This window comes from Homo sapiens, chromosome 2, assembly GCF_000001405.40.
Source record: "Homo sapiens chromosome 2, GRCh38.p14 Primary Assembly".
NCBI classification, from domain to species: Eukaryota; Metazoa; Chordata; class Mammalia; order Primates; family Hominidae; genus Homo; species Homo sapiens.
Window position 1 is genome coordinate 94234459 of NC_000002.12, and position 12245 is coordinate 94246703.

Sequence of the window (12245 nt, forward strand, 5' to 3'; positions counted from 1 at the left end):
ATTACCACTCAGAAGTTAGCTTCCAAAAGAAACAAGTGTGTGCAAAGGTTTATGATAGTGGTGTAGAGAAGTTTTTAAAATAAATGTGCATCTTTTATGGTAATAAAAGCACATTATGAAGAATTTTTTAGGTCCAGTTCACAGATTCCTTGTGCCTGGGGAAAACTTTATTAGAAAATTAGATAATTTCTAATTTGATTAGGGGAAGTCTAATGGGAAAACTTTTTAACTGAGCGGTCCAATTCGAAACATGAATATCTGTGCTGGAAGCTTCTATTGAACTTTACTTAAGTCACATCTAAGACCCTCTGCCTGTCAGTCCACCATTACCCTAACTGTGGTAGAAATTCTCTATATGACACCTAGATCTTTTTTTGTTGCACTTTTAAGCTGTGTAGGAAACACACTGCCCACATGTTCATACAACACAGAGTGATTATCCACTTAGTTCCTAAAAAGTTGTATTTGGTTATGGGGTTTGATCCCACTTGTCCAGGGTTTAGGTCAGCTACTGAAGATTAGGATATCTGGGTACCTCTTACTGGAGAATGCATTCCTGTTTTCATTTCATTCCTGGGGGCAATATTCAATCTGGTGTGGCCCTCTGTATTATAAAATGTTTCCCAGATTGTGTTTATCTGAAATACAAATCCAAGAAGAAGCATGGTGTTAATTGCCGTGTAAAAAAGATTCCAGAGTCAAGAGCTTGAGAAGTTCTGTTCCTTCCTTCATAGGTTCAGTTGTTTAACCCAGCATTTTTCAAACATATTTTACTCCTAGAACCTGTTTTTCCTCAGACATATTTAAGAAAAAAGCATTTTGTAGAACACATTTGGACAAATGATACTTTATATCATTGCTTTGTTTTTTAAATTTTAGTTTGACTCAATTTTACAGTTTCAGGATTTTGTTTCTGTTTCAGGTTTTAAGCTTTTCTTTTATAAATAGTTACTTTCCTAGTCTGAAATCTATACATTGTTTCAGTAATGAATTCATTATGTAAATTTGCCCATCATTCATCTAAAGGGAATAAATGTTAAATTGTTTTTTTAAATTTTGACTTGTGTCACATATGAGAATATAAAGTATATCTGTACAATAAAGGAAAATGAAACATCAAAGTATCTACCTCAGGTTAAGAAGCAGAACTTGGCTGGGCATGGTGGCTCACACCTGTAATCCCAGCACTTTGGGAGGCAGAAGTGGGAAGATCACTTGAAGCCAGGATTTGGAGACCAGCTTGTTCAATAAAGGAAGACCTCATCTCTAACAACAACCACAACAGCAAAAAATTAGCCAGGCACGGTGACACATGCTTATAGTCCCAGCTACTGGTGCAGCCTCAAACTCCTGGTCTCAAGCCATCTTCCCACCTCGGCCTCATGTTGTAGTGAACTTTGTTATGCAGTGTCTCCTATTCTACATGTGCAGGAGTATTTTTACAGTATGTACCTGGAGTGGAATTGCTTGGTCATTGGGCATGTGTGTGTTCAGCTCTATTGAGTGGCATCATACTGTTCTCCAAAGCAGTTGTACCAATCTACACCCTCACCAGCAGTGAATAGTCTTCCCATTGCTCTTCCTCAATGAAACTAGATATTCACAGCCTTTTAGGTTTTTCCTAGAGTATGAAGTGGTATCTCTTTGGGGTTTTAATGTTTATTTCCCTGATTAGAATTGTAGTTGAGCATCTTTTATTATGTTTATGGGCCATTTATGTTTTCTCTTCCGTGAAATTCCTATTCGGGTTTTTTGCTCATTTTAAATGTTGTTGTTTGTGTTTTTCTTATATAGGAATTCTTCACGCAATCAAGATGCACGTATGTTGTTCAGAATAGTACCTGAGACATAGAAACAACTTTGTAAGAATAGCTATCATTACATTACCATTGTATTTAATCCTTTGTTTTTATGTGTTACAATTATCTTCTGCTAATTTGTGGCTTATTTTTCATTCTGTGATGCTAATTTTTTAACCTAGTATTCTATTATTTTAAAAATACACAATCTTGAGTAGTCTACATGTTCATAACCATGACATATTCATGTTGCATATGTTCTGTGTCATAACCCAGAACTTTCTTTCTTTTTTTTTTTTTTTTTTTTGAGATGGAGTTTTGCTTTTGTCACCCAGGCTGCAGTGCAATGGCGTGATCTTGGCTCACTGCAACCTCTGCCTCCTGGGTTCAAGAGATTCTCCTGCCTCAGCCTCCCGAGTAGCTGGGATTACAGGCACCTGCCACCATGCCCAGCTAATTTTTGTATTTTTAGTAATGACGTTGTTTCGCCATGTTGGCCAGGCTGGTCTCGAAATCCTGACCTCAGGTTATCCGCCCACCTTGGCCTCCCAAAGTGTTGAGATTACAGGCATGAGCAGCTGCACCCGGCCAACTTTCAATCTTAAGTACCATTTTTTGCTGCTGTTTCTTTTTTTGAACCCCAGGAAAAAATTAACTCATTTAATCCCCTATTCAAACTGCTACAATTTTATTTTCAGTGTTGTCGCCTGGTTGTAGATGCATTTGTCTCTCCAAATGCACTGTGATTATTTCGAAGACAAAACATTTTTGGCATTGTGATATATATATATATATATATATATATATATATATATATATATATACATACACACATATATATATGTATGTATATATATGTATGTATATATGTATATAATATATATATGTATGTATATATGTATATAATATATATTGTATAAATATGTTTTATATATCATATAAAAATTATATATATATATAAATGCCACTTATCCCTAATATAGGGACTCGATTAGTTTCTGCTAGTGTGGAGACAAGTCATGTCATGGCTAGGGGCCATGATGGTAGGAGCAGTCAGAGGATTTCTTGCATTGTGGTGAGTGCATATAAGTTAAGTAAGCCACTTATCAGTAGATTTGATAGCAGGATAATAGTTATATCACTGATACCTAGGCAGTACATGACACTCAGTAAAGAATAGATTAATCCTCATGCTCTTCATCTTCCTCCTAATCTCTTTACCTGTGCTGCCCTCCAGCTTTCAAAGTGCTCTGAGTCATCACTTACACAGTGTTCCTTAGCTGCCCCTTCAGTGAGCCAGTGTTTCTGTGCCCCAGTGTTCCTGAGAGTTAGAACACAGAAAACAGAGCAGGCTCTTGCCCACATCACAGAACATCTTTGTCTCCCTGTGGATACCGCACATTTGTTCATTAGAGCTCAGGAATTGCCAGAGACTGGCTTTTCTGGCAATGGACACTAGATTCTTCAGAAGAATATTGGTTGAAATCTTCCTGCTGTGACAGTTCCCTGCACGCAGGGCAGGAGTGTGTGCTTCTTCCCAGCAAAGACAGAGGCAGGGCCTACAGAAACTGTGCCCGCAGCCTATAGTGATGGGGTCTGTGAGGTAATTCAGGCAGATGAGGCAGGTGAGTTCTTTCTGGAAGGCTTGTGGGAAGTCTAAGTCCATTTTTCTGAGGGAAGAAAACCAGAAGAATTTATTCTTATGCCATAGAGAGACAAAGATCTACACAAAGTTTGAATCAGGTTTTGAGTAGGATCTGCTCACAGGTTTAAATCTATAGCAGGATACGATTTTATTTTGCACGTAACAAAAATGAAAAATTGAGGCACAGAATTCAAGCTTTGCAGAAAAATGTGTTGGCTCCCTAACCAACACACACACACACGCCTACTTTCCCAAATTCTTTCCTCCTGTATGAAAAAACTTAAGGCTGGGCACAGTGGCTCATGCTTGTAATCCAGCACTTTGGGAGGCTGAGGCAGCAGGATTGCTTGATCCAAAGAATCCAAGACCAGCCTGGGCAACATGATGAGACCCTGCCTCTACAAAAAGAAAAGGAGGAAAAAATTAGCTGAGCATGCCAATAGTCCCTGCTACTAGGGAGGCTGAGGTGAGAGGATTGCTTGAGCCCAGGAGGTCAAGGCGGCAGTGAGCCGTAATCCAGCCACTACACTCTAGCCTGAATGACAGAGCAAGACTCTGTCTCAAAAATGAACAAAGAAAGAAAAGAAAGAAAGAGAGAGGGAGGGAAGGAGGAAGGAAGGAAGAAAGGAAGGAAGGAAGAAAAGGAAGGAAGGAAGTTTACAGAGTTTTTTGAGGTGTTAGTGTTCCCTAAATTGTATGGTCTTCAGAGGTTTACCCTCCTATAGCTTCAAGGGGTGAGTCCTGACTGGTAGGAAAATCAATCACACTCTTACTTGCCAGTGATTCATTTAGGGAAGACAGCTAACTAAGCTCTTCCACTTTGATTATTTCATTTAATTGTAACAACCATCTTATTATGACTTCTTCAAAATTACCCTGCCAGTAAGTGTTGGAGGACTCCCCAGAAGCAGAAACCACCATGCTTCCTGTATAGCCTACGGAACCATGAGCCAACTAAAGGTGTTTCTCAGGTATTTCTTTATATCTTTGGCCAAAATTAAAGAGTTAGGCTTTACTCTCCAAGATACTGCAACAGACAAAAACAAGCCACCACTGTTTTCTAATGTTGTTTTCTTGTTAATTGAATCAACAAGTATTTTCTGGTAAGTTTAGTGTTCCAGAGACTGTTAACCTGGTGATGCACCGGTTAATAAAACATCTGTAAGAGAAATAAAAGTTTAAAAATGAACCAGATGATAAAATGCAGTAGTGTACACAATGCCACTTATCCGCATGTCTTCTGTGTGTCACCCATGATCCAGAAAATGTCTTTAGTATAAGCCATTGATAAGGATGCCTGAAAAATTCACGTATAGAAGACATAGTCACAAAATTATTTTTTTCCTTTGATATCCCTTGTTACTTCAAACAGAATTTACCACTCCAATTCGATTTCTGAATACATGGGAGTTAATAGAATACTCCTAATCCATTTATAGGATCTACACTAAGTAAAAAAATTAAAGACATCTGAAAACTATTTTGTGAGTCCTTATAATCCATATCAACAATCATGGAATATGTTAAGTAATAGACCAAAAATTAATCATCATATTAACCAAAAACACATAGCAAGACAAGATAACTAAATATTTTCATTTGGAAATTGGGAAATTTAGTCAATTTTAAAACTCAGCAAATGAGATCATTTCACAGAAGCAACCTAGGTTTGCTGGTAAATTAAAATTTTGACATTTTGTTTTGGTTTGGAAGGGTAGTTCCTCTTCTGTAAATTGTGTACTCACATAAGAAATATATCTATGTTCTCACGGACACTTGCTGTAGAGGTAATAATATGAAGTTAGCTCAGGTATCAGGGCCTCACAGTGCAGTGCTGGTAGCTTTTTTTTTTTTTTTTTTTTTTTTTGCCCTGCACCTTGAGTAAAAGTTTCCTGAGGCCTCCCCGGAAGCAGAAACCACCATGCTTCCTGTATAGCCTATGGAACCGTGAGCCAACTAAGGGTATTTCTCATGTATTTCTTTATAGCAATGCAAGAACGTACTAATACAGCTAAGCAGAGGCCATCAGGACCAGCAACAGTCTGAGCTGGATGAGAGACAAAGCTAAACTTTGAGCAGCAGCAGGAGCTGCCAGGGATTACAGAAAGGAAGGACGGACTCCTAAATTCCAGGATGTCTCCTTTAAGTCTGTAAGAAGCTCAGCCACCGTCTCCTTACCTGACTCCTCTGGGAAAGAGTTTCCCTAGGTTAAGCCATACAGGGATAGGGTAGGAGATGCCATTTGGATCTAGGAGCAGAGGGCAGAGCCTCAGCAGGAAGAGTGTCTCTTTGAGAAGGAGACACAGTGGAGCAGGTGTGTAGGTTCACAGGGCCAGCTATGGGTAGAGTCGGGTGTACATTTTTAGAAGCCACAATTCCCAAAAATCTCCTGACTATAACATCAGTGCACAGAGCCAGTCAAATGGAGGAGGAGTGGGTCCAGGCAATTCAGGAAGAAGGAAAGTAACAAATGAGTGGTTGCAGGAGGACACTTTTTCTGTCGAGGTCACTAAACAAAACATTGTCTCCTCCCCTTAACTTCAGAAACAATGGAGGGTAAAAGTGTCGCCTGGGCCCTGGGGGCAAAGACAGTAGATAACTTCTCTGTCGTGTTCTCCAGAAGGGCCCAACAATTACAAGGTTCTACGGTTCTAAATTCCAATCTAGTCTTCCACATCATTTTGAAGGTATAATATTACTTGTCAAAGTGGGATGATAGAAGATATGTGTGGACATAAATTGTTGTCAAGGAAAAAAACTAAAATAAGAAAATAAGAGAAAAAATATATGTATGTACAGTGGTTAGCTAGAAATATGCCTTTTAAATATTTGGCATGTGGTATGTGGGCCTCAATGTGTACTATTGCACTAGCTTCCCAAATATTAAAGGATGTCTTTTAAAAGAAAAACCTCTTGCTAAAAGGTTAACAGTTAAAATAACCAGAGTGGCACAGGTACCAGTCATTAAGTGAAACCTTTCATCTTCCCAGAATAGTGCCTGTTCCCAAGCCAGCTTCTTTGAAAATCACTTTTCTCTCCTTTACTATTTAGTTTACAGATTGTATAGTAACAATACAGAAACCACAATAGTAGCAAAAAAAATAAAGAATATTTTTAAATGAAAACTCACATCCTAACTCTACCAAAACATGAAAATTAAACCTGAATGCCTCCCATTCCTGATATATTTTTCACCTAAATATTCAGCTCTGGGATTGCATTGTTTTTGGATTGAGTGGAAATTATTGCCTGGTCTTGAAATCTTCCATAATGTGTGTGTGTGTGTGCGTGTGTGCGTGTGTGCGTGTGTGTGTGTGTATGTATGTATGTGTGGTGAATATACTTCTTTTTGTTCAGAGCAAAGATTTTTTCAATATGTATATTTATTTTAGGCAGATTATGCTAGTAATTTTCTACAAATGTGCTTTTTAAAAAATAACCTTTAATTTAAAAAAAATTATTCTTACTCAGTGGCCCACAATTGTTAAAAACGCTACTAATGGAGCTGGGTATGGTGACACACACCTGTCATCCCAGCTACTTGGGAGACTGAGGCAGGGGTATTGCTTAAACTTGGGAATGTGAAACCAGCCTGGGCAACGTAGTGAGATCCCAATCTCAAAAATCAATCAATCATTAAAAAATAAAATAAAATAAAACACTACTAATAGCTTTTTAAAAAATAGTTCTTAACCAATTTTCCTAGCACCTTCCCTTCCTCAGTGAAGTATAGAAATATGTGGTCAGGCACTGTGGCTCACACCTATAATCCCAATAATTTGGGAAGCCAAGGCATGAGGATCAGTTGATTCCAGGAGTTCAAGACTAGCCAGGGTGACATAATGAGACTTGGTCTCTAACAAATTTTTTTTTTCTTTAATTACCAGGGCATGATGGTGCATGCCTGTAGCCCAGCTACTTGGAAGGCTGAGGTAGGAGAAACACTTGAGCCCAGGAGGTGAAGGCTGCAGTGAGCCATGGTTGCACCACTGCACTCCATACCTGGGTGACAGAGTGAGACACAGTAACAAAAACAAACAACAACAAAAAGTATTTGTTTTAGAAAAAACATTTGGTGAGGTTTGGGCTTAAAAATATATTATTCTAAAATATTCATAAATATTCTCTAGTAATGATAAGATTAAAGTGACAAAGACAAACTTTTTTCCTGTGCAGTTCCATCTCTCACCTTCCCGTAATTTGTCTGTCCCATGCAGCTTCCAAAGGAAATTATTTACAAAATAATGTCTGCATCCTGGGTCTATATATCTATTGCCTATGAGGAGAGCATTTCAGATCTGAGCCATCTTCAAGTCTTATACTTTGTGTATAGCTCTCATGTTTTTGCAGGTTATGTAAGTTTGTATACCCTTTCTTTTATTAATCTGTGTATGGTCAGTTCATTTCGGGTAATCTTCAGAGGGTGAAAGGCGAAGCTTTTCACTTCACTCCTACTGTGACAACTAACTACCTTCTTGCTTATTCAATGTTTTAGTCTATATCAACACTTTTATATACATTTACTTTTAAACAAAATTTTGCATCATTACACTTAAATTTTTATTTACCTTTTAAAAAGGAAATTAAAAATTATAAAATTTTACATAATAAAAATAAAATAAATGATTTATATAAAAATTAATCTGACCTGTGAAAAACACTGTCCAGAGGCCAGGCGCGGTGGCTAACGCTTGTAATCCCAGCACTTTGGGAGGCCGAGGTGGGTGGATCACGAGGTCAGGCGATCTAGACCAGGATGAAACCCCTCTCTACCAAAAATACAAAAAATTAGCCGGGCGTAGTGGCGGGCGCCTGTAGTCCCAGCCACTCGTAGAGGCTGAGGCAGGAGAATGGCGTGAACCCGGGAGGCGGAGCTTGCAGTGAGCCGAGATCGTGCCACTGCAATCCAGCCTGGGTGACAGAGCCAGACTCTGTCAAAAAAAAAAAAAAAAAAAAAAAAAAAAAAGAAAAAGAAAAAGAAAAACACTATCGAGAGAATAAAAAGACAAATCACAGACTGGGAGTAAAAATTTACAAAAGCTATATCTGGTGAAGATACATTTGTTATCCAAAACATACAAAGAACTCTCAGGACTCAATAATAGGAAAACAAATAGTCTAACACAAATGTAGAGATCTGAACAGACATTTCACCATAGAATACAGATGGATGATACGTAAGCACATTGAAAGATGTTCAACATCATTCATCATTAGGGAAATGTAAATTAAAACCACAATGAGATACTGCTACATGCCTATTAGAATAGCTAAAATTTAAAAGACTGACCATACTAAACATTGGTGAGAACACAAAGGAACAGGAATGCTCATACACTGCTGCTGGAAATACAGCCACTTTGTCAGTTTCTTTATAAGTTAAACTGGCTGGGAGCGGTGGCTCACGCCTGTAATCCCAGCACTTCGGGAGGCCAAGGCGGGCGGATCACGAGGTCGGGAAATCGAGACCATCCTAGCTAACACGGTGAAACCCCGTATCTACTAAAAATACAAACAATTAGCCAGGTGTGGTGGCGAGCGCCTGTAATTCCAGCTACTCCGGAGGCTGAGGCAGGAGAATGGCGTGAACCCGGGAGGCGGAGCTTGCAGTGAGCCGCCATGCACCACTGCACTCCAGCCTGGGCGACAGAGCGAGACTCCGTCTCAAAAAAAAAAAAAAAAAAAAAAAGTTAAACATATCACACCACCTAGTCATTCAAATCCTGCTTATTTGCCCAAGACAAATGAAAGTGTATGTCCAAACGATTGGACAAACATTCGTAGCAACTTTATTTGAAATAGCAAAAACAACCGGAAGCAAACCAAATGTCCATCAAGAGGTGAATAGATACACTAACTGTAGAATATCCATACAATAAAACTATTTTTTTAAAAACTACGGGGCAAAAAACAAAAAAACCAAAGATAGAATCTAACTTCTTGGTAAGTACATTCACTATTAGGGTTTTTATAACAGAGAAGTCATTCTTTATTAACACTCTTTTGACTATGAAAATATTTTGACATCAAAAATCTGCAAAATATGAAGAAACAAAGGACACACAGCTTTTTCTATTTTCTATTTTTATTTTATTTTTATTTTTTTGAGAAGGAGTCTCTTTCTGTCACCCAGGCTGGAGTGCAGTGGCGCGATCTTAGCTCACTGCAAGCTGCGCCTCCCGGTTCATGCCATTCTCCTGCCTCAGTCTCCCGAGTAGCTGGGACTACAGGCGCCCGCCACCAAGCCCGGCTAATTTTTTTTTTTGTATTTTTAGTAGAGACGGGGTTTCACCGTTAGCCAGGATGGTCTCAATCTCCTCACCTCGTGATCTGCCCGCCTAGGCCTCTCAAAGTGCTGGGATTACAGGCGTGAGCCACCGCCCCCGGCCCCAGGACACACAGCTTTAAAATTTCTCCTTGGTCTCACCCAGTGTCAACCACCTAAAACCTCTCATTTTCCCCCAGACATTTCTTCTGCCTCCAGGATGGAGGTAGAGAATCTTGGCCTTGGGCCACGCACTGGGGACCATGCTGGGCTGCCATGGTCAGTGACGGACTCAGGTTCTCACCAGGATCCCCAAAATAGGCCCCTGAAAAAAATGTTACCATCAGGGTGCGCTCCCTGATTCTTGTGTCTGCTGGAAGGAGGAAATCAAGCCAGGAACATTGTCAGGATAGAGATGAAAATAGGGCTCACTTTTCTGTCTCTTGTGATGTCAGACAAGCCTTTCAGCTCTGTCTCCTCAGCCCTCATGGAATTGTTGGTGTGGACGCACCAAGATTCTGAACTGGGTCCCCTTTCCCTCTGTCCTTCTCTGGGGCCAGATTCTGAGCTCTCCATTCCAATTTTTCCCCCAATTTGCCCTTGCATTTATTTATCTGGATTACTGTCTGCCTGTCCCAAAGAACAAAAGCTTTATCACAGTGGGGACTTTGTTTAAAAAAATAATAATAACAGCTATATTTTTAGGACCCATGACACTGACCAGCATATCGGTGGTATCTGATAAAAAATGTTTGTTGACTGAATGAACAAATATATTATTCACAATTCACATTATCCTGAACTGGCTAGAAAATTAAATACCTGATATCAGTATTGGCAACATTATGAAGTAAATATAATTCTGATACAGTGCTCGTGAAAGTCTAATATGAAATGCTCATTTTAGAAAACATTTTCTTGTAGATTTGAAAATGTTTCATCTCCATGAACTAGTTGTATATCTGCAAGTTGTGTATCTTTGGGTTAGGCAGAATAATTGCCCCCCACCAAAGACAGCCACATCCCAGTCTTCAGATAAGGTGAACATGCTAACATAAGTTAGCATGTTCAAAGGGACTTGGCAGATGTGATTACCATTAAGGGCATTGAAATGGGGAAATTACCTTGAATTACCTTGGTGAGCCAATCTAATCTCATAATTCCTTGAGAGCAGAGAATATTTTCTGGATGCTGAGATTCAGACAGATGGCAGTATGAGAAAGATGTGGCCTGCTATTACTGGCTTTTAAAACAGTGGTAGGGGGCCACAAGCCAAGGAAAGCCAGTGACCTTTAGAAGCTGGGAATGACCCGAAGTTTACAACCAGGAAGAAACTGAGGATCTACAACCACAAGGAACTGAATTCTGCCAACAACCCAGATGCTCTTTTAGAGCCTTCAGAAAGAAATGCAGCCTGCCAACATCTTGATGTTATTTCAGTGAGAGCCATGCCAGATTTTCAACCAAAACAAATCTAAGACAATAAGTTTGTGTGTGTTTATTAAAACTGACTCAAATCTTACAAAAATGTGTTATTTTAAGCCACTGAATTTGTGGTAAATTGTTACAGCAGGAATAGAAAACTGATACAACCCTAGAGAAAGTCTTGTACATGTGCCCTATAAACACACAGCAGAATTTTTTTAACTTCTTATTGAGTTAAAAAATATATATATAATTTACCATCTGTACATTTTTAGAGGACAGTTTAGTGGTGATAAATACATTTATATTTTCTTCTCTTAATCTCCTCTTCCCCCTCCCCTTGCTGGCCTCTAGCAACCACCAATTTACTTTCTATCTTCATGAGATCCACTTTTTTACTGCCCACATATGAGTGACAACATGTGGTATTTGCCTTTCTGTGCTTGGCTCATTCCACTTAACATAATGGCCTATGTTCATTATGTTAAGCCAAATGGCCAGCGCCACCTATGTTGCTGCGAATGACAGAATTTCATTCTTCTTTGTATCTGAGTAGTATTCCATTATGTATGTATATGACTTTTAAAATCTATTCATTTGTTGATGAGCACTTACATTGATTCCATATTTTGTCTATTGTGAATAGTGCTGCAGTACACATCGGCATGTAGATATGTCTTTGATACATTAATTTCCTTTATTTTGGATATATATCCAGTAAAGAAATTGCTGGACCACATGGTAGTTCTATTTTTACTTTTTTGAGGAACCTCCATACTGTTCTCCATAGTGGCTTTATTAATGTAGATTCCCACCAACAGTGTACTAGTATTTCCCTTTCTCCACATCCTTGCCAGCATCTGTTCTTGCCTGTCTTTTTGAAACAAGTCCTTTCAACCAAGGTGAGATGATATTGCATTGTGATTTTGATTTGCATTTCTTTGACGATTAGTGATATTGAACATTTTTTCGTCTTCCTATTGGCCATTTGTATGTCTTCTTTTGAGAAAATATCTGTTCAGATCTTTTGCCCATTTTTTAATTGTATTTATTTATATATTTTTAACTATTATGTTTTTAGAAGCAAGGTCTTGCTTTGTCACCCAAGCTA